Source organism: Homo sapiens, chromosome 15, assembly GCF_000001405.40.
Source record: "Homo sapiens chromosome 15, GRCh38.p14 Primary Assembly".
Lineage (NCBI taxonomy): Eukaryota > Metazoa > Chordata > Mammalia > Primates > Hominidae > Homo > Homo sapiens.
The window spans coordinates 49354259-49377608 of record NC_000015.10 but is presented as its reverse complement, the minus strand read 5'-3'; the positions used below and the strand labels follow the sequence as shown (position 1 = coordinate 49377608).

General features: G+C 36.1%; 2 protein-coding genes and 1 pseudogene across 26 annotated transcripts in view, besides 2 other annotated features; 2 read left to right on the top strand and 1 right to left on the bottom strand.

Moving 5' to 3' along the window:
- Positions 1–23350, top strand: part of FAM227B (family with sequence similarity 227 member B) — a 293849-nt gene that overhangs the window by 243210 nt on the left and 27289 nt on the right. For 17 of the 20 annotated variants that reach the window (XM_047432224.1, XM_047432222.1, XM_047432221.1 and 14 more), the window contains 2 exons: positions 6210–6307; positions 10001–10161. In XM_047432224.1, the coding sequence (XP_047288180.1) occupies positions 6210–6307; positions 10001–10161 (259 nt within the window). Of the gene's footprint in view, positions 1–6209; positions 6308–10000; positions 10162–12892; positions 13155–23350 lie in introns of those variants that run through there. The other 3 variants (XM_011521321.3, XM_017021995.2, XM_047432225.1) reach the window with 3 other exon arrangements.
- Positions 4762–5315: an enhancer, noted in NCBI's record as "OCT4 hESC enhancer chr15:49664491-49665044 (GRCh37/hg19 assembly coordinates)". NCBI's record gives its function as "activates a minimal SCP1, AML or CMV promoter by ChIP-STARR-seq in primed H9 embryonic stem cells {active_cell/tissue: H9 hESC(primed)}" and the evidence as "EXISTENCE:reporter gene assay evidence [ECO:0000049][PMID:30033119]".
- Positions 9869–23350, bottom strand: part of GALK2 (galactokinase 2) — a 211967-nt gene continuing 198485 nt past the window's right edge. For all 6 annotated transcript variants that reach the window (XM_047432347.1, XM_024449892.2, XM_024449894.2 and 3 more), the window contains one exon: positions 9869–10118. In XM_047432347.1, coding sequence (XP_047288303.1) covers positions 10078–10118 — 41 coding nt within the window. In that variant the 3' untranslated portion in view covers positions 9869–10077. The remainder of the gene's footprint in view (positions 10119–23350) is intronic.
- Positions 10782–12877, top strand: LOC100420615 (signal peptide peptidase like 2A pseudogene; annotated as a pseudogene).
- Positions 22459–23104: an enhancer, noted in NCBI's record as "NANOG-H3K27ac-H3K4me1 hESC enhancer chr15:49646702-49647347 (GRCh37/hg19 assembly coordinates)". NCBI's record gives its function as "activates a minimal SCP1, AML or CMV promoter by ChIP-STARR-seq in naive H9 embryonic stem cells {active_cell/tissue: H9 hESC(naive)}" and the evidence as "EXISTENCE:reporter gene assay evidence [ECO:0000049][PMID:30033119]".

Here is a 23350-nt window from a genome sequence, read left to right as displayed (position 1 = left end):
TTGATCATCAGAGAAATGCAAATCAAAACTGCGAGATACCATCTCACCCCACTTGAAATGGTTTATTTCCAAAAGACAGGCAATAATAGGCAAGGATATGGAGAAAAGGGAACCCTCATACACTGTTTGTGGAAATGTAAATTAGTACAGCCACTATGGAAAACAGTTTGGAGTTTCCTCAAAAAACTAAAAATTGAGCTACCATATAATCTAGTAATCTCACTGCTGGATATGTACCCCCAAAAGAAAGGAAATCAGTATATCAAAGAAATATCTGTACTCCTGTATGTTGCAGCACTGTTCACAATAGCTAAGATTTGGAAGCAACCTAAATGTCCATCAATAGATGAAAGAATAAGAAAATGTGTACATATACACAATGGAGTACTATTCAGCCATAAAAAGAGTAAGGTCCAGGCATTTGCAACAACATGGAAGAAACTGGAGTGAAATAAGCCAGGCACAGAAAGACAAACATTGCATGTTCTCAATTATTTATGGGATCTAAAAATTAAAACAATTGAACTCATGGACATAGAGACTAGAAGGATGGTTACCAGAGGCTGGAAGGGTAGTGGCAGGCTGGGGAAGAAGTTGGGATGATTAATGGAGACAATAAAAAAAAGTAGCTAGAAAAAATGAATAAGACCTAGTATTTGATAGCACAACAGGGTGACTATAGTCAATAATAACTTAATTGTACATTTTTAATAGAAAAGAAAACCACCCCATTTACAATACCATGAAAACAAATAAGATACTTAGGAATAGATTAGCAAAAGTGGATAAGATAAGGCTTATCCACTGAAAATTACAAACCAGTATTGAAAGAAAGTATAGAAGACCTAAATGAATGAAAAAACCTCCCATGCTAATGTATTGGAATATTTAATATTGTTAATACAATACTCCCCAAAATGGTCTACAAATGCAACACAATGCCTATTAAATTCTAGCTACCTGTTTTGAGAATGGTATAGAAATTCATATGGAAATGCAAGGGAACAAGAATAACCAAATCACTGTTGAGAAAGGAAGAACAAGGTTGGAAGACTCACAATTCCTGATCTCAAAACTTGCTACAAAGCCACATTAATCAAGACAATGTGGTACTGGCATAAGGGTAAACATATAGGTAAATGAAATAGACTGGAGAGTCCAGTAATAAATCTCACATTCATGGGTCATTGATTTTCTAGAAGAATGTTGAGACCATTCAATGTAAAAAGAATGATTTTTTCAGCACTGCTGTGACAACTGGGGTATTCACCTACAAAAGAATAAAGTTGGACTTGTACCTCACACAATATACAAAATTTAACTCAAAATGGATTATATACTTAAATATAATAGCTAAAAATATAAAAATCTCAGAGAAAACAGGAGTAACTCTTCGTGACCTTGATTTAGGAATGAGTCTTAGATATGACACCAAAAAAGCAACAAAATTAAAAATAAATAAATTGAACTTCATTTATCTCTCTTTTCACACAAAGTATTGCAAATTTTCCTGGCCTTCTCTTTTATGGGACATTTTTAGATATGGAACTGTGGAAACATGGTTTCAATGAGGAACACATATCAATAATAAGTTCACACAATCACTAATACAAAGGAGGAACACATCAATAATAAGTTCAAACAATCACTAATACAAAGATGGTTAAGAATTTTTATGACAGTACCAGTCAAGACTGTCAAGGTTTGGTTATAAAATAAAGATAGTCTCAATTCCTTCTAATTTTATTATTCTCAATAAGCATAGTTTGTACTCCACATACAATTAAATTAGTCTCAATTTTATATCATCCTAAAAGTTCTTGTGTAGATAAATTTACATATCATGGGAAAAGTAATTTATCAGACGGTATGCTCTAAGTTTTGCCTGTGAACCCATTTAGTGGTGGATTTTTAAAAAATGTTTTTCATTCTATAGGAAAGATTTTTAAATGGGTCAATAAGTTTCTTCACCAGCACCTTTGATCAAATCTTAAGCTTAAAAGCTACTCTTTTATAAAACATATGTAATGTTTGGCTCCACAGAGCCTTAAATACATCAGTTTCTTATTCAGATACTTGTCACTTTGGTTCTTATAAAAAAAAATAGAAATGCTTTAAAAATAATAACTTGTGTCTTGCATCTATAACTTGCCTGAGCAATGATTTGGTCCTTAGAGATACAAATATAATTCATAGTAAGAAATAATGGATAAAAGTAACTCCCAAAAATGCCAAAATAAAGTAATAATAAGATGGCACTTTCCTTGGGAACCAAGTGTGATATGAATCACTAATTTATTATAACATAAAAAATTTTCATGTTTTTGGATATACTAAATTTGGTGCAGAGTTAGTGAAACCTAACGATGCTAGCGATCTACATAAGTATACACTTCATAGTTAACAAAGTATATGTATAAACACTTGGACTGTATAATCTCTCTGTGAAGTTATTTATAATTATGTATATTATGTTAACATTACTTGGAGAAGCAATTCTAATTTAGAGCATTGAGAAGGTCCTTAATCTTTCAGTTTGCCAATTTGAACCATGAATTTCACACAGAGAGGTGGGAGGATGGATCTGTAAGTAGGTATGTAGAGAGATATAACTCATTTGAGATTTAATATATATACAAACCAATGACTGGGCCTGCAGATGATCAGATTGAAAGGACTTGGAAGTATGCATATAAAGATCTGAAACAGTCAGAGAAGCATGATCAGAAAATACACACAATAAGACATTAAGAATATACTCATGAGGCCGGGCATGGTGGCTCACGCCTGTAATCCTACCACTTTGGGAAGCCAAGGTAGGAGGATCTTTTGAGGTCAGGAGTTCGAGACCAGCCTGACCAACATGGTCAAACCCAGTCTCTACTAAAAATAGTAAAAATCAGCTGGCCATGGTGGTGAACACCTGTAATCTCAATACTCAGGAGGCTGAGGCAGGAGAATCGCTTGAACCTGGGAGGCGGAGCCTAGATGGCACCACTGCACTCCAGCCTGGGCAACAGAGCGAGACTCAGTCTCAAAAACTCATGAATATGCAATAGTTTATTTGAAATACTCATCATTTTCCTATATTATTGGACAAAATTGCATTCACATTTTATTTTTTATTTGCTAAGATCACATACATTTTGCCTAATGGATACCTATATTTTCTCTATTTCTCCTGGCATTTCTTTTCTACCCCTCTCTCCAAGGTACATTCCAACTCTTGAGCTTCTAAAATTATTATTACTGTGCTATTTTGGTGCATTCTATAGTTCTTATTTATGAGGCTTATTGGATTCCTTCCTAGACTTCATTGGAACAACTAAAAATCTCGGGAATTCTGACCATTTACAGGATTTAAAAGTCGACTGTAAAATTATATCAGGCTTGGGTCTCAGGTATTCTCTTTGTAAATGACTCTGAAAGATCTGATCTTGAAGTAATCTAGCCTCAAAAATTCTTGCTTTGATACCAACTATCTTTATAAAGTAGAGCTTTTATCTGGTGTGGTTGGTTAATGGAAAAACCAGTTACCCAAATCAGGAATCATGGAAAATGATACTTGTATCTTTTAGCATTTTAACTTAAAACAAGTTAAATATTACATCATTTGTCTGTCTTTTAATGCAGGTATGAGGCCTTTTCTTGAATTAACTTGCATTTCAATACAAGATTAAAAGTCTCTTTCTGAGAGTAGTTCTGATTTTAATTACATATATTCTAAAGTGTATCTATCAGCAATACTTTTTCTGTTTGTATAGTTTAGTCAATTATTGTATTAATATTTGTGACCTACACTTGACCTTTCTTTAATTTTTCCAACATATAGGAGTTATTTGCATTTCAGGAAGACTGTTAGAATAAAAACTGTAAAAGTGGATAGCAATAACCATACTTACTTACATGTCTCCCTTTTAGAGGGGATAACATCTCTAAAATAAATAGGGGATAATTATGGAAATGAAATTTTCCCAATGAAAGTGGAGGAAGACTGGAACATTTTTTCACTAGTGAAATTTCTGGAGACTTAGTAAGAACAGTTAAGACATTTTATTATAGTTTTATCAGATAGAGTCATTTTTGGATTTTCAGGTAATATTCCCAAGCTTTCAGAGATGCTGAGAACAGAAGAAGCACTAAAACTATAATTTGGGGGAATATTAACATTTTTCCCTAAAACTAATCAATGGGTTAGAGGAAAAAAAGCTAATAAATATAGGCATTTTAATGTTATTGATTAGTCATCATATGTAGATGAGTTTCTTTGCAATTTTTATTTGACTGTTTTTCTCCTTAAATTGTTTTGCTTTACTATTTTGCCATTGCCTTACTCCCAGCTTAGACACCTTGCCTCATATTAATGTATACTACTATCTGTTAAGTAGCAATTCCACAATTAAGCTCAGGTGATTTGAAAAGTAAACTTTTTATTGTGTGTACAGTGAACATGGAGAGGTTCTTTTATTTTTTTAATGATACTGGTTCATAGAAGACTAGAAATTAAGTAATATCATATATATTAAGTATTATATGTGTATTTAAGAATTTTCAAAATTGAGCAAATTTTGAAGAAAAAAATATGGTTTATTACTTTTCTTGCCCATTCTAATTCTAAATCTAATATTCTTTCTACTCAAAATGTTTAAATGTAAGTTCCTTGCTAACCAATTCTTTAATCCCTGGTGGACATAAATGCTTACCTGCCTTTAGTATTTCAAGCTAATGCCTAATATTTCCTAATGTCTAATGTCAAAAATCAACCCAAGTAACTTTCTTTAACTCTTAAAAGGTTTGTCATCAACATTACAATCACTAGATCTGATTAGTCTACCTGGTAACTGATAATCAGTGCCAGAGTCTAGAACAAACCTCTCAGATCACCTTTTTTCTCAGATGTTAAGATACACTTAATACCTAGCTTCTGCTTTTAGGCTGATTGACATACCTGATTAAATCACATGGCTCTCTTTTCCTTTAAGAAGTGGCACGAATCCCTCTGTACCCTCATGCATATTCATGCCAGTTGAAAGGAAAGGTCACCAAGTCTCCTCTTATCTGGGTGTATTGTCAGAATATGGAAAAACAGGACTCTGACAGGCAGAGGCCCAGGTTGCTTATTGCATTTAATTAGAGGGTCATTGCTTTGGACTTAGAAGCAAAAGACCCAATTTATGTCCTCTCCTTCTACTACTTAGTAAATAGTAGCTTAAACAAGTCATAGAACTTGCACTTTAGTCTTCTCAACTGTAAATTATGGAAAATGTTTCTTAGCTCACTGAATGGTTTGCGAGGATGACATAATGTAAATAAATGAATTTTATTTCATTTATTTATAAGTGAATTTTATTTCATTTATTTATAAGTGAATTTTATTTCATTTATTTATAAGTGAATTTTATTTCATTTATTTATAAGTGAATTTTATTTCATTTATTTATAAATGAATTTTATTTCATTTATTTATAAATGAATTTTATTTCATTTATTTATAAATGAATTTTATTTCATTTATTTATAAATGAATTTTATTTCATTGATTTATAAGTGAATTTTATTTCATTGATTTATAAGTGAATTTTATTTCATTGATTTATAAGTGAATTTTATTTCATTTATTTATAAGTGAATTTTATTTCATTTATTTATAAGTGAATTTTATTTCATTTATTTATAAGTGAATTTTATTTCATTATTTATAAGTGAATTTTATTTCATTTATTTATAAGTGAATTTTATTTCATTTATTTATAAGTGAATTTTATTTCATTTATTTATAAGTGAATTTTATTTCATTTATTTATAAGTGAATTTTATTTCATTTATTTATAAGTGAATTTTATTTCATTTATTTATAAGTGAATTTTATTTCATTATTTATTTATAAGTGAATTTTATTTCATTTATTTATAAGTGAATTTTATTTCATTTATTTATTAGTGAATTTTATTTCATTTATTTATAAGTGAATTTTATTTCATTTATTTATAAATGAATATTTACAATAATAATAAAGCCCTATTGAGTAAAAATATGAAATATTTATTTCCTCTTTGGGACAAGTTGTAACAATGTCTTAACACTCTTTATCCATGTTTGCCTTTCTCCATGTTTAGGGTGCATTGTTAAAAGGCGAAAGAGGTATCATGCTTTTTCTGTGAAGGAAAAAAATACCAGAATTTTAAAAAGTATTTTATTTTCTGTTTTAGGTATCGACTTCAATATTATAAAGATTCTGAACAACCCAAGAGCATATACGTTGCCCATATCCAAGGAAGAATCAAGATTATCAAGACTAGCAACAAAGGTTTGGAGTATAATAATTATGAAAAAATTTCTTACTTGTTTAATTTGCAATATATTTGCAATTGACTGTGCTGTACATAGGCAATGCTGGTTACTACATTCTTACCATATATTTTGGAAAAGAATTTAATGGTCAAAAGAGATTTGTTTGAGGTTTAATCTTAATATTAAAAAGTTTTATTTTCTTCTGAAAATATCCCCATTTCTAATGAAAAATATCATAATATTTATCTTTTTTCCTCACAACATGTCTTGTCACTGTTTCTCCTTTGGTTGACATACAAAGGCTCCATCTGGTGTTTGCACATGAATATGATCTTAATAAGCAGCAAAGCTGCAGGCAAAACTTCAAAGGAGTATCAACAATAGTTGACCTGTCCTTACTTCTTAAGCCATGGTCCTAGAATAATTGACCACATGTAGATACTGTTACTCTTGAGTCTTGAATGCTTAGTTTCTCGACATTCTTGAAGGTGCCTTGCAGGTAGAGATTTCATGTACTCACCACCATGTGTTGCCTTAGCCAAAATTTGATGAGATTATTGACCTGAAATTCTGAATTTGATATCTTAATTTGTTAGACAATTAGATTTTAAGTTGGTTACAGTCTTTATTGTTAAAATTTTGTCTACATCATCTTATCCAGTCTGATAAGATAATTTATTTAAAATTAAAAATTATGCCTATATAAAAACCACTTTCTGAAAGTCAGTATTTATGTTTTTCCCGGTATTTAATAACCCAAGTTTAATAAAATATCTTCCTACTTTATTCTGACCTTCACAGTGAGGCTAAGGATGGTTTGCAGGCACTTCAGATATTAACTGGTGATGTATAGAAGTCAATTTTGAATCAATGACAATGTCACTCCATTTCCTTTGGGGCAATATTGCCAGATTTAGAAATCAGAGATAAGTAATAAAAATTGTATATCTGGTCTTCAGCAAACACTAAAAATGGTCTCTCGTACTTTGTTTAGTAGCTAACACATGGGTTTGTAACAGATTAAACAACCTTTTTCAGAGGATGCTGCTAACAGATAGAAATTGGAAATACATCTTTAGTAGTATAGCACATTGCTGCATTTTTTGCCCTGTCCCATTGTACTAGTCAGCTTGGACTGCCAGAACAAAATACCATGGACTGGGTAGCTTAAACAACAGAAATTCATTTCTCATAGTTCTGGAGTATGGGAAATCCAAGATCAAGGAGCCAGCCAATTTGGTTTTCTGGTGAAGGCTCTCTTCCTGCCTTGCAGATGGCCTCTTCCTTGTTGTGTCCTCATATGGCAGAGAGAGTGAGCTCTGGTCTCTTCTTCTTCTTATAAAGACTCCAATTCCATCATTGACAACCTCATCTAAACCTAATTATGAAGAGCTCTGAAATCATATTGCTTCAGCAATGGCCAAACTATTTATAAGTATTTCTTCTGGAAGGAAAAGACTCTGAAGGCCATAATAACTGTTTTCAAATATGTAGAGAGCTACTGTAGGAAAGCAGAATTAGAGTTTTTCTGTATGGCTCAAAAAAAGTATAAGTTTTGCCAATAAATAAGTGAAAGATACAGGGATATAGATTTCAGCTCAAGATGAAAAATTTTCCAGGCACCGAAGTTGTCCACATGCTAAATGGGTGCCTGTGGGTTTCTAGTCCCTGAAAGTGACACTGGGTATGAGCATTGGCAGAACACATATTCAAGCCTCAAAAATCAATGTTTAGCTTTTTACTTATTGTAGCAATTATCCTTTAATAAATTTTCTGAGAAATTAGGTACCCAAATCACCCCTTGGACTTTCTATTTCATCCTTTATGATCATTCTTAAGTTTATGGAGTTGCTTGATTCTTTGAATTTAGGCTAGGTTGACTTGACAATAAAAGTCTTGTTTCATGGAATCTTAAAGTGCTCTGACAAATTTCTGCTATTATCTTTCATGGGATGAATGGAAACATTAGGGTTTCTGCTCATTGGTTTGGCTATTTGGAATGTCCCTAGCAAGAGGTTTTTGGTCAACTTGCGACATTCTGCTTTAAAAACCAAAACACCAGGCCGGGTGCAGTGGCTCACGCCTGTAATCCCAGCACTTTGGGAGGCCGAGGTGGGCGGATCTCGAGGTCAGGAGATCAAAACCATCCTGGCTAACACGGTGATACCCCGTCTCTACTAAAAATAAAAAAATTAGCCAGGCGTGGTGGTGGACGCCTGTAGTCCCAGCTACTCGGAAGGCTGAGGCAGGAGAATGGCGTGAACCCGGGAGGCAGAGCTTGCAGTGAGCCAAGATCACGCTACTGCACTCCAGAGCGAGACTCCGTCTCAAAAAAATAAAAACAAACAAACAAACAAAAACAAAACAAAAACAACACCACGGGATTGCATTTAATACCTATTTGCCTCTTACCTGGCTGAAGTACTCTTAAAAACCATGAACTCTTATAGAGGAAAAAGGGCTGCAAACTGTGATTTTCTTAACTTAATAACTGATAACTGCAGAAAAATAACAGAAATGTCTATTTCTAGAATTTTAGTAAGATAGAATGTTTATCTTATAGTACCCAAGAAAGAAACAGGAAGAGTGTTGCAAAACAACTATCTAGACAGGCAAATTTTTTAAAAATCTAAACTGAGCTTGGGCTAGTTTTGCATACATTTTGAAGATTGAGCTATACGTAACCCAATGTGAATTATCATGGGAGCTTAAAATGAAGGAGTGATTTACATCATAGAAAACATGTCTGATATTGACATTAACTTTTTACTAGCAAAGAATTGCTATTGATTATGATAGTCCCATTATTTGAAATGGTTCTGTAGCTGCTAGGAATTCTGAAACATATTTTTTGCAAAAACCTATAGAATAAAAAAGTGACCATAAGCAAAAGAAATTCAAGAGAACTTTTTGTATCAATAAAAGCAAATGAAAACAAAATTTTATTTCCCCACAGTAAGTGGAATCAATAAAAAATCTTTCATAATGGTATTACAAAGATTGAGGAAAACTTAAAATATTAGTAGTTGCTATACTGACATTTCTGCCATAAGAAGGGAATAATAGAATCTTGGAGTAATTATATTTATGGTTATTGTATTCTTGACATAGAATTTTTGGTCAACAGGTTTTTTTTTTTCCATCAGCACCTCTATGCTATCCCACTGCCTTCTGGCCTGTTTTGTTATGATAAGAAGTTAGTTATTAATCCTTTTAAAGTTCCCCTATATATGAGTTGCTTACTCTTGCTTTTGAGGTTTTTCTCCTTGTCTTTATTTTAAAAAACTTTGTCTGGGATGTGCTAGGTGTGAATTTATTCTACTTAGAAATTGCTGAACTTCTTGGATGTGTTTTTCATAAATTTTGAAAATTGAGACCATCATTTGTTCAGATATTTTTCCTATGCCTTTTCCTGGCTTTGTTCATTTTCTTCATTTTTTTTTTTTTTTTTCTGTTCTTAAGACTGAATAATGTCTATTGCCTATATGCAAGTCTGATGATAACTCAAAAGAGTAGAAGAGCCTTACTGCATGTACTTATAGACTCATACTTTGGTAAATTCCTCTAATTAAGAAGATGCTTTGTAGAATTTCCTTTATTTTAATATATCAAATGGTAACTTTATGCTAAATATGAAGTTATATTTTATTCACAGTTTTTTAGAAACACAAAAGTAATCGTTGTCTTGATTATTTTCTTCCTCTTACAGTCGCACTATAGTAGTACTGGTCCAGAGTTTAATCGTGTTCTCTTCAATTTTGGAGGTCAGAGTCCATTGATTTTATATTATCTTAAGATGCATGAGCTGGCTGGTATTTCCAAAGCACCTAAGAAAACCAAGATTAAACTCACTAAGATATTCCAGGAACCATATCCTTTTTAAAGCTTTGCTTTAATATAATTTCTTTCAAAAATAATATTCAAAACATTTCACTGAATGTCTCAATTGAGAAACAAATTGAATGCATGTTTTATCAATGCTTCTGTTTAGTATTAATATTTACTTATGCTTAAAACTTTGGTAGTATGTTTGGCTTTTCTTTATTAGATCTAATGCTATGATTTTGCATGTAAGAAAAATAAAACAAACATTAACCCAAAGAACTTTTAAAACTAGTATATTTGGTTCTCTGATAAAAGGCTATCTTTGCAACTTTACTGTTCAGTGACTGGTTTCAAACATTTGTCAGAATTATGAGGCATGGGCTTCTAGCCTTCTCCAAAGAGAGTTTTAGGCATGTTTTAGCTGTGGAATTCTTTGTTCAAATGAAAATTTATCAGAACATTTTTTACACATTAAAAAATTTATTTTTATGTGTAAAATAAAAAATAAATTAAAATCGGAGCTCTTTGGTTGAAGCAGGGGTAGGGCCCAGAGTTCTGTTTTTTACAGTCCTATCTTCAGTATAACTTTTCTTGGCCCAGTCCTCATTAAGGACTCAGATGAATCCCAAAGGAATTAGAACACTAGCCACTAAATTAGAGTGTGGGCTGCAGTGGCGGCCCCTGCAGCAGCGGCGATCCCAGCCTAGCCCGGCCGCCCCCGCCACGGAGGCAGCGCAGTGGCGGGACTCCCAGCCTACCCCACCTAGTGAGCCGCGCCGCGCCACCCCACCCGCCACCCACCAGTCCGATGGGGCCGCAGCGGCGGCTGTCCCCTGCCACGGCCGCCCTGCTCTGGGGCTTCCTGCTCCAGCTGACAGCCGCTCAGGAAGCAATCTTGCATGCGTCTGGAAATGGCACATCCAAGGACTACTGCATGCTTTATAACCCCCATTGGTCAGCTCTTCCAAGTACCCTAGAAAATGCAACTTCCATTAGTTTGATGAATCTGACTTCCGCACCACTATGCAACCTTTCTGATGTTCCTCCTGTTGACATAAAGAACAAAGCAGTTGTGGTGCAATGGGGCAGCTGCCATTTTCTTGAAAACACCAGAAATGCACAGAAAAGAGGTGCTGAAGCAATGTTGGTTGTCAATAACAGTATCCTATTTCCTACCTCAGGTAACAGATCTGAATTTCCTGATGTGAAAATACTGATTGCATTTATAAGTGACAAAGACTTTATAGATATGAAGCAGACTCTAGGAAATAACATTACTGTGAAAATGTGTTCTCCATCGTGGCCTAACTTTGATTATACTATGGTGGTTATTTTTGTAATTGCTGTGTTCACTGTGGCATTAGGTGGATACTGGAGTGGACTAGTTGAATTGGAAAACTTGAAAGCAGTGACAACTGAAGATAGATAAATGAGGGAAAAAAAAGGAAGAATATCTAACTTTTAGTCCTCTTACAGTTGTAATATTTGTAGTCATCTACTGTGTTATGATGGTCTTACTTTATTTCTTCCACAAATGGTTAGTTTATGTTATGATAGCAATTTTCTGCATAGTATCAGCAATGAGTCTGTACAACTCTCTTGCTGCACTAATTCATAAGATGCCATATGGACAATGCACAATTGAGTGTCGCGGCAAAAGCATGGAAGTGAGACTTATGTTTCTCTCTGGACTGTGCATAGCAATAGCTATTGTTTGGGCTGTGTTTCAAAATGAAGACAGGTGGGCTTGGATTTTACAAGATATCTTGGAGATTGCTTTCTGTCTGAATTTAATTAAAACACTGAAGTTGGCCAGCTTCAAGTCATGTGTGATACTTCTAGGCCTTCTCCTCCTCTATGATGTATTTTTTGTTTTCATAACACCATTCATCACAAAGAATGGTGAGAGTATCATGGTTAAACTTGCAGCTGGACCTTTTGAAAATACTGAAACATTGCCAGTAGTCATCAGAGTACCAAAGCTGATCTGTTTCTCAGTAATGAGTGTGTGCATCATGCCTGTTTCAATATTGGGCTTTGGAGACATTATTGTACAGGCCTGTTGCTTGCGTACTGTAGAAGAGTTGATGTTTAGACTGGTTCTTCGTATATATACTATGTTTCCTCTACAGTTGCCTATGCTATTGGCATGATACTTACATTTGTTGTTCTGGTGCTGATGAAAAAGGGGCAACCTGCTCTCCTCTATTTAGTAACTTGCACACTTATTATTGCCTCAGTTGTTGCCTGGAAATGTAAGGAAATGAAAAAGTTCTGGAAAGGTAACAGCTATCAGATGATGGACCATCTGTATTATGCAAAAAACGAAGAAAACCCTGTGATGTCTGGTGAACAGATTGTCCAGCAATAATATTATGTGGAACTGCTATAATGTGTCATTGATTTTCTACAAATAGACTTTGACTTTTTAAATTGATTTTTGAATTGACAATCTGAAAGTCTTCAATGATATGTTTGCAAATATATATTTTTATGAGCTGGTACTGACAGTTACATCATAAATAATTAAAATGCTTTGCTTTTAATGTTAAAGTTGTGCCTTCACATTAAATAAAAGGATATGGTCTGTGTAGTTTCCAAGATGTATTACATAGAGTATATTTTTCTTAAAAAAAAAAATGCCTTGACCCATCCCTATGCTTTTTTACTCAAATGTTTCTTCCAACTCTAATGGTAGATAAAAGTATTACTATCAAAGTGAGTTTCTGAATGGGTTTTACTGTAAATAATTATGCAAATTTTATCTGCTTTATAGAAATAACTGTTTAAGACCATGCAAGAAGGCAGTTCAACGGTGAAAATTTGGACCTTTTATCACTGCAGAGGTTAGAAATATAAAATTTTGGAATAAATGTAAGTGCATATTTTTGTAGTATGTTTTTTTAAAACCCAATCCTTTCATAAACTTGAGAACTGAAATTACTTCAGACTGCATGTGTATTATATTAAGAACATTTTTTCAGCTGTAGAGAAACATAATATATAGAAATAAACACAATCAGAAATGACAAGACATTGCCACCAACCCCACAGAAATACAAAACAACCTCCAAGACTACTATGAACATCTCTATGCACACAAGCTAGAAAACCTACAAGAAATGGATAAATTCCTGGAACATACAACCTACTAAGATTGAACTAGGAATAAACTGAATCCCTGAACAGACCAATAACAAGTTCTGAAATTGTATCAGAAATAAAAAGCCTACCAACCAGAAAAAGCCCAGGACTAGATGGATTCACAGCTGAATTCCACCAGATATATAAAGAAGAGCTGGTACCATTCCTACTGAAACTATTCCAAAACATTGAGGAGGAGGGACTCTTTCCTAACTCATTCTGAGGCCAGCATCATCCTAATATCAAAACCTGGCATAGACACAATAAAAAAAGAAAACATCTGGCCAATATTCTTGATGAACATAGATGCAAAAATTCTCAACAAAATACTAGCGAACGGAATCCAGCAGCATGTCAAAAAGCAAATCCACCATGACAAAGTAGGCTTTACCTCTTGGACACAAGGTTCATGCAACATGTGCAAATCAATAAATGTGATTCATCACATTAAACAGAACTAAAAACAGACCCATAAGATTATCTCAATACATGCAGAATAGGCTTTTGATACAATTCAACATCCCTTCATGATAAAAAACCCTCAACAAACTAGACATTGAAGGAACATACTTCAAAATAATAAGAGCCATCTATGACAAACCCACAGCAAACATCATCAAAAGCTGGAAGTATTCACCTTGGAAACCAGAACAAGACAAGGATACCCACTCTCAACACTCCTATTCAACATAGTATTGGAAGTCCTGGCCAGAGCAATCAGACAAGAGAAAGAAGTAAAAGGCATTCAAATAAGAACAGAGGAAGTTAAACTATCCTTGTTTATAGACAATATGATCCTATATGTAGCAAAACCAATCGTCTCTGCCCAAAAGCTCCTTAAGCTGATAAACAACTTCAGCAAAGTTTCAGGATACAAAATCAATGTACAAAAATCAATAGCATTCCCATATACCAACAACATCCAAGCTGAGAATCAAATCAAGTCTGCAATCCCAATGCCAATAGCCACAAAAAGAATAAAATACCTAGGAATACAGCTAACCATGTAAGCAAAAGATCTCTACAACAAGAATTACAAAACATTGCTCAAAGAAATCAGAGATGACACAAACAAGTGGAAGAACATTCAATGATTGTGGATATAAAGAATCAATACCATTTAAATGGCCATACTGCCCAAAGCAATTTACAGATTCAATGCTATTCCTATCAAACTACCAATGACATTCTTCACATAATTAGGAAAAACTATATTAAAATTTATGTTGAACCAAAAAAGAGCTTGAACAGCCAAGACAATCTTAAGCAAAAAGGACAAAGCTGGAGGAATCATGTTACCCAAATTCAGATTCCACTACAAGGCTACAGTAACCAAAACAGCATGGCACTGATATGAAAGCAGACACAAAGACGTATGGAACAGAAGAGACAGCTCAGAAATAATGCTGCACACCTACTACCATCTAACCTTTGACAAAGTTGACAAAACAAGTAATAGGGAAAGGACTCCCTATTCAATAAATGGTGCTGGGAAACTGGCTAGCTATATGCAGAAGATTGAAACTGGACCCCTTCCATACACGACATACAAAAATCAACTTAAGATGGATGAAAGACTTAAGTGTAAGACCTAAACCTATTAAAAAAACTCTGGAAGATAACCTAGGACATACCATTCTGAACGTAGGAAATGGCAAAGATTTCATGATAAAGATGCCAAAAGCAATTGCAAGAAAAACAAAAATTGACAGATGAAACCTAATTAAACTAAAGACCTTCTGCGCAGCAAAAGACCTATCAACAGAGTAAACAGACAGCCTACAGAATGGGTAGAAATATTTGCAAACTATGCATGTGACAAAGATCCAATGTCCAGAATCTATAAGTGTATTAGTCGGTTTTCATGCTGCTATAAAGAACTACCTGAACCTGGATAATTTATGAAGAAAAGAGATTTAACTGACTCACAGTTCTGCAGGTTTAACAGGAAGCATGACTGGGGAGCCTCAGGAAACTTACAATCACAGCAGAATGTGAAGGGGAAGCAAGAACCTTCTTCACGTGGTGGTAGGAGAGTGAAGGGGGAAGTGCCATACACTTTTAAGCCAGCGTATCTCATGAGAACTTTCACTATCATGAAAACAGCAGGAGGGAAATCCACTCCCATGATCCAATCACCTCCCACCAGGACCCTCCCCCAACACATGGGGATTACAATTCAACATGAGATTTGGGTGGGGACACAGAGCCAAACTATGTTAATAAGGAACTTAAATCAACAAGCACACAGCAAACAAACCCATTAAGAAGTGGGCAAAAGACATGAATGAACACATTTCAAAAGAAGACATACACGTAACCCACAAGCATATGAAAAAATGCTCAACATCACTAATCATAAGAGAAATGCAAATCAAAGCCACGATGAGATACCATCTCAGACCAGTTAGAATGGCTACTATGGAAAAGTCAAAAAATAACAGATTCTGGAGAGGTTGCAGAGAAAAGGAATGCTTATACACTGCTGGTGGGAATGTAAATTAGTTCAACCGTTGTGGAAAGCAGTTTGGCAATTTCTCAAAGAACTGAAAGCAGAATTACCATTCAACTCAGCAATACTATTACTGAGTATATACCCAAAGGAATATAAATCTTTCTACCAGAAAGATACATTCACGCGTATGCTCATTGCAACACTATTCACAATAGTAAAGATAAGGAATTCAACCTAGATGCCCATCAACAGGACTAGGTAAAGAAAACGTGGTACATATACACCAGGGAATACTGTGCAGCCATAAAAACTAACAAGATCATGTCCTTTGCAGCAATATGAATGGAGCTGGAGGCCATTAACCTAAGTGAACTAATGCAGGGACAGAAAACTAAAACCACATGTTCTCACTAATAAGTAGGAGCTAAACATTGAGTACATGTGGACACAAAGAAGGGAATAACAGACACCAGGACCTACTTGAGGGAGGAGGGAAGGAGGAGGGTGAGGATCAAAAAACTGCCTACTGGGTATTATGCTTATTACCTGAGTGGTGAAATAATCAGTACAACAAATCCCTGTAACATCAATTTACCTATGTAACAAACCTCCACATGTACCCCTGAACCTAAAATAAAAGTTAAAAAAAAATTTGCATCATAGGTAATATTTTTTAAGTTTTTTAAATTAATTTTTTAATTGACAAATTATAATTGTATATATTTATGGGGTAAAAAGTGATGTTATGATATATGTATACATTGTGGAATGACTGAATCAAGCTAACATATTCATCACCTTAAATACTTATCATTTATCCCTCCTAACTGAAACTTTGTCCTCTTTAACCAAAACCTCCCTATTCCGCAACCCCACAGGTAATATTTCTATTGATAAGGAGTGATTTGCCTAAATCACAAGAGGGAGGATGACATTATTGTCTATGTGTAAGGATTCACATGTAAACACTGAGTAGACTGGAGGTATGTATGGAGAGGACTGGAGGGAGTCAATGAAATTTCACATCACAGGAGTGCTTATGTCTTCTGACATGATTTTAAATGTATATTTATTTATAAGGATGATAAACTTGTTTACTAGTTAATGTACACTAATTCATTAGCAGAACATTTAAATATAATTTTTGGATGATCTTTGGAGTTTTATTAAAAACTTGGTCACTTGATATTTGAATTATGAGTAAAACAGGAGAAAAACTTTGATGTCTAGGATTTAGAGCTGAATGCATGGTATATCTTTAAACTGCAGAATCTTGGATAAAATGTATTTAGAGCTGCTAATTCTCCCTTCATACTTTGTCTATGTTTTTATAAGCCACCTCAAGCCCTTTATGTGTTGAGACTAAGCTAACCAAAGAATACCCAAAAATTTAATAATTTTTTTAACATGCAAAATGCAAATTATTTAAAAAATTGAAAACTCAGAGCCAAAATGTTGGTGTAGTCTGTATGGGTCTCGTTAAAAAGAAAAGTGTATAAGCCATATCTGTATTGCTAACATGAGTTTTAAACATTCACATTTTGTTGCAGTTTAGAAAAATCTGAACTCAATGCAGTGTCATAATGAGTACAATGTTACTATAAACACATGCTCCCACTATCACACATGCATACACAGACTTTTTTTTTTTTTCCTTATACTATAAGTTTTAGGGTACATGTGCACATTGTGCAGGTTAGTTACATATGTATACATGTGCCATGCTGGTGCGCTGCACCCACTAACTTGTCATCCAGCATTAGGTATATCTCCTGATGCTATCCCTCCCCCCTCCCCCCACCCCACAACAGTCCCCAGAGTGTGATATTCCCCTTCCTGTGTCCATGTGATCTCATTGTTGAATTCCCACCTATGAGTGAGAATATGCGGTGTTTGGTTTTTTGTTCTTGCGATAGTTTACTGAGAATGATGATTTCCAATTTCATCCATGTCCATACAAAGGACATGAACTCATAATTTTTTATGGCTGCGTAGTATTCCATGGTGTATATGTGCCACATTTTCTTAATCCAGTCTATCATTTTTGGACATTTGGGTTGGTTCCAAGTCTTTGCTATTGTGAATAATGACGCAATAAACATACATGTGCATGTGTCTTTATAGCAGCATGATTTATAGTCCTTTGGGTATATACCCAGTAATGGGATGGCTGGGTCAAATGGTACTTCCAGTTCTAGATCCCTGAGGAATCGCCACACTGACTTCCACAAGGGTTGAACTAGTTTACAGTCCCACCAACAGTGTAAAAGTGTTCCTATTTCTCCACATCCTCTCCAGCACCTGTTGTTTCCTGACTTTTTAATGATTGCCATTCTAACTGGTGTGAGATGGTATCTCATTGTGGTTTTGATTTGCATTTCTCTGACGGCCAGTGATGATGAGCATTTTTTCATGTGTTTTTTGGCTGCATAAATGTCTTCTTTTGAGAAGTGTCTGTTCATGTCCTTCGCCCACTATTTGATGGGGTTGTTTGTTTTTTTCTTGTAAATTTGTTTGAGTTTATTGTAGATTCTGGATATTAGCCCTTTGTCAGATGAGTAGGTTGCGAAAATTTTCTCCCATTCTGTAGGTTGCCTGTTCACTCTGATGGTAGTTTCTTTTGCTGTGCAGAAGCTCTTTAGTTTAATTAGATCCCATTTGTCAATTTTGTCTTTTGTTGCCGTTGCTTTTGGTGTTTTAGACATGAAGTCCTTGCCCATGCCTATGTCCTGAATGGTAATGCCTAGGTTTTCTTCTAGGGTTTTTATGGTTTTAGGTCTAACGTTTAAGTCTTTAATCTATCTTGAATTGATTTTTGTATAAGGTGTAAGGAAGGGATCGAGTTTCAGCTTTATACATATGGCTAGCCAGTTTTCCCAGCACCATTTATTAAATAGGGAATCCTTTCCCCATTGCTTGTTTTTCTCAGGTTTGTCAAAGATCAGATAGTTGTAGATATGCGGCGTTATTTCTGAGGGCTCTGTTCTGTTCCATTGATCTATATCTCTGTTTTGGTACCAGTACCATGCTGTTTTGGTTACTGTAGCCTTGTAGTATAGTTTGAAGTCAGGTAGTGTGATGTCTCCAGCTTTGTTCTTCTGGCTTAAGTTTGACTTGGCGATGCAGGCTCTTTTTTGGTTCCATATGAACTTTAAAGTAGTTTTTTCCAATTCTGTGAAGAAAGTCATTGGTAGCTTGATGGGGATGGCATTGAATCTGTAAATTACCTTGGGCTGTATGGCCATTTTCACGATATTGATTCTTCCTACCCATGAGCATGGAATGTTCTTCCATTTGTTTGTATCCTCTTTTATTTCCTTGAGCAGTGGTTTGTAGTTCTCCTTGAAGAGGTCCTTCATATCCCTTGTAAGTTGGATTCCTAGGTATTTTATTCTCTTTGAAGCAATTGTGAATGGGAGTTCACTCATGATTTGGCTCTCTGTTTGTCTGTTGTTGGTGTATAAGAATGCTTGTGATTTTTGTACATTGATTTTGTATCCTGAGACTTTGCTGAAGTTGCTTATCAGCTTAAGGAGATTTTGGGCTGAGACAATGGGGTTTTCTACATACACAATCATGTCGTCTGCAAACAGGGACAATTTGACTTCCTCTTTTCCTAATTGAATACCCTTTATTTCCTTCTCCTGCCTAATTGCCCTGGCCAGAACTTCCAACACTATGTTGAATAGGAGTGGTGAGGAGGGCATCCCTGTCTTGTGCCACTTTTCAAAGGGAATGCTTCCAGTTTTTGCCCATTCAGTATGATATTGGCTGTGGGTTTGTCATAGATAGCTCTTATTATTTTGAAATACGTCCCATCAATACCTAATTTATTGATAGCTTTTAGCATGAAGGGTTGTTGAATTTTGTCAAAGGCTTTTTCTGCATCTATTGAGATAATCATGTGGTTTTTGTCTTTGGCTCTGTTTATATGCTGGATTACATTTATTGATTTGTGTATATTGAACCAGCCTTGCATCCCAGGGATGAAGCCCACTTGATCATGGTGGATAAGCTTTTTGATGGGCTGCTGGATTTGTTTTGCCAGTATTTTATTGAGGATTTTTGCATCAATGTTCATCAAGGATATTGGTCTAAAATTCTCTTTTTTTGTTGTGTCTCTGCTTGGCTTTGGTATCAGAATGATGCTGGCCTCATAAATGAGTTAGGGAGGATTCCCTCTTTTTCTATTGATTGGAATAGTTTCAGAAGGAATGGTACCAGTTCCTCCTTGTACCTCTGGTAGAATTCGGCTGTGAATCCATCTGGTCCTGGACTCTTTTTGGTTGGTAAGCTATTGATTATTGCCACAATTTCAGCTCCTGTTATTGGTCTGTTCAGAGATTCAACTTCTTCCTGGTTTAGTCTTGGGAGAGTGTATGTGTCGAGGAATTTATCCATTATTTCTTCTAGATTTTCTAGTTTATTTGCATAGAGGTGTTTGTAGTATTCTCTGATGGTAGTTTGTATTTCTGTGGGATCGGTGGTGATATCCCCTTTATCATTTTTTATTGCGTCTATTTGATTCTTCTCTCTTTTTTTCTTTATTAGTCTTGCTAGCGGTCTATCAATTTTGTTGATCCTTTCAAAAAACCAGCTCCTGGATTCACTAATTTTTTGAAGGGTTTTTTGTGTCTCTATTTCCTTCAGTTCTGCTCTGATTTTAGTTATTTCTTGCCTTCTGCTAGCTTTTGAATGTGTTTGCTCTTGCTTTTCTAGTTCTTTTAATTGTGATGTTAGGGTGTCAATTTTGGATCTTTCCTGCCTTCTCTTGTGGGCATTTAGTGCTATAAATTTCCCTCTACACACTGCTTTGAATGCATCCCAGAGATTCTGGTATGTTGTGTCTTTGTTCTCGTTGGTTTCAAAGAGCATCTTTATTTCTGCCTTCATTTCGTTATGTACCCAGTAGTCATTCAGGAGCAGGTTGTTCAGTTTCCATGTAGTGGAGCGGTTTTGAGTGAGATTCTTAATCCTGAGTTCTAGTTTGATTGCACTGTGGTCTGAGAGATAGTTTGTTATAATTTCTGTTCTTTTACATTTGCTGAGGAGAGCTTTACTTCCAAGTATGTGGTCAATTTTGGAATAGGTGTGGTGTGGTGCTGAAAAAAATGTATATTCTGTTGATTTGGGGTGGAGAGTTCTGTAGATGTCTATTAGGTCCGCTTGGTGCAGAGCTGAGTTCAATTCCTGGGTATCCTTGTTGACTTTCTGTCTCGTTGATCTGTCTAATGTTGACAGTGGGGTGTTAAAGTCTCCCATTATTAATGTGTGGGAGTCTAAGTCTCTTTGTAGGTCACTCAGGACTTGCTTTATGAATCTTGGTGCTCCTGTATTGGGTGCATATATATTTAGGATAGTTAGCTCTTCTTGTTGAATTGATCCCTTTACCATTATGTAATGGCCTTCTTTGTCTCTTTTGATCTTTGTTGGTTTAAAGTCTGTTGTATCAGAGACTGGGATTGCAACCCCTGCCTTTTTTTGTTTTCCATTGGCTTGGTAGATCTTCCTCCATCCTTTTATTTTGAGCCTATGTGTGTCTCTGCACATGAGATGGGTTTCCTGAATACAGCACACTGATGGGTCTTGACTCTTTATCCAATTTGCCAGTCTGTGTCTTTTAATTGGAGCATTTAGTCCATTTACATTTAAATTGTTATGTGTGAATTTGATCCTGTCATTATGATGTTAGCTGGTTATTTTGCTCGTTAGTTGATGCAGTTTCTTCCTAGTCTCGATGGTCTTTACATTTTGGCATGATTTTACAGCGGCTGGTACCGGTTGTTCCTTTCCATGTTTAGTGCTTCCTTCAGGAGCTCTTGTAAGGCAGGCCTGTTGGTGAGAAAATCTCTCAGCATTTGCTTGTCTGTAAAGTATTTTATTTCTCCTTCACTTATGAAGCTTAGTTTGGCTGGATATGAAATTCTGGGTTGAAAATTCTTTTCTTTAAGAATGTTGAATATTGGCCCCCACTCTCTTCTGGCTTGTAGGGTTTCTGCCGAGAGATCCACTGTTAGTCTGATGGGCTTCCCTTTGAGGGTGACCCGACCTTTCTCTCTAGCTGCCCTTAACATTTTTTCCTTCATTTCAACTTTGGTGAATCTGACAATTATGTGTCTTGGAGTTGCTCTTCTCGAGGAGTATCTTTGTGGTGTTCTCTGTATTTCCTGAATCTGAACGTTGGCCTGCCTTGCTAGATTGGGGAAGTTCTCCTGGATAATATCCTGCAGAGTGTTTTCCAACTTGGTTCCATTCTCCCCATCACTTTCAGGTACACCAGTCAGACGTAGATTTGGTCTTTTCACATAGCCCCATATTTCTTGGAGGCTTTGCTCATTTCTTTTTATTCTTTTTTCTCTAAACTTCCCTTCTTGCTTCATTTCATTCATTTCATCTTCCATCGCTGATACCCTTTCTTCCAGTTGATCGCATCGGCTCCTGAGGCTTCTGCATTCTTCACGTAGTTCTCGAGCCTTGGTTTTCAGCTCCATTAGCTCCTTTAGGCAGTTCTCTGTATTGGTTATTCTAGTTATACATACTGCTAAATTTTTTTCAAAGTTTTCAACTTCTTTGCCTTTGGTTTGAATGTCCTCCCGTAGCTCAGAGTAATTTGATAGTCTGAAGCCTTCTTCTCTGAGCTCTTCAAAGTCATTCTCCATCCAGCTTTGTTCCTTTGCTGGTGAGGAACTGCGTTCCTTTGGAGGAGGAGAGGCGCTCTGCTTTTTAGAGTTTCCAGTTTTTCTGTTCTGTTTTTTCCCCATCTTTGTGGTTTTATCTACTTTTGGTCTTTGATGATGGTGATGTACAGATGGGTTTTTGGTGTGGATGTCCTTTCTGTTTGTTAGTTTTCCTTCTAACAGAGAGGACCCTCAGCTGCAGGTCTGTTGGAGTACCCTGCCGTGTGAGGTGTCAGTGTGCCCCTGCTGGGGGGTGCCTCCCAGTTAGGCTGCTCGAGGGTCAGGGGTCAGGGACCCACTTGAGGAGGCAGTCTGCCCGTTCTCAGATCTCCAGCTGCATGCTGGGAGAACCACTGCTCTCTTCAAAGCTGTCAGACAGGGACATTTAAGTCTGCAGAGGTTACTGCTGTCTTTTTGTTTGTCTGTGCCCTGCCCCCAGAGGTGGAGCCTACAGAGGCAGGCAGGCCTCCTTGAGCTGTGGTGGGCTCCACCCAGTTCGAGCTTCCCGACTGTTTTGTTTACCTAATCAAGCCTGGGCAATGGCGGGCGCCCCTCCCCCAGCCCACCTTGCAGTTTGATCTCAGACTGCTGTGCTAGCAATCAGCGAGACTCCGTGGGCGTAGGACCCTTCCAGCCAGGTGCGGGATATAATCTCGTGGTGCGCCGTTTTTTAAGCCGGTCGGAAAAGTGCAGTATTCAGGTGGGAGTGACACGATTTTCCAGGTGCCGTCCGTCACCCCTTTCTTTGACTCGGAAAGGGAACTCCCTGACCCCTTGCGCTTCCCAAGTGAGGCAATGCCTCGCCCTGCTTCGGCTCACGCACGGTGCGCGCACCCACTGACCTGCGCCCACTGTCTGGCACTCCCTAGTGAGATGAACCCGGTACCTCAGATGGAAATGCAGAAATCACCCGTCTTCTGCGTCGCTCACGCTGGGAGCTGTAGACCGGAGCTGTTCC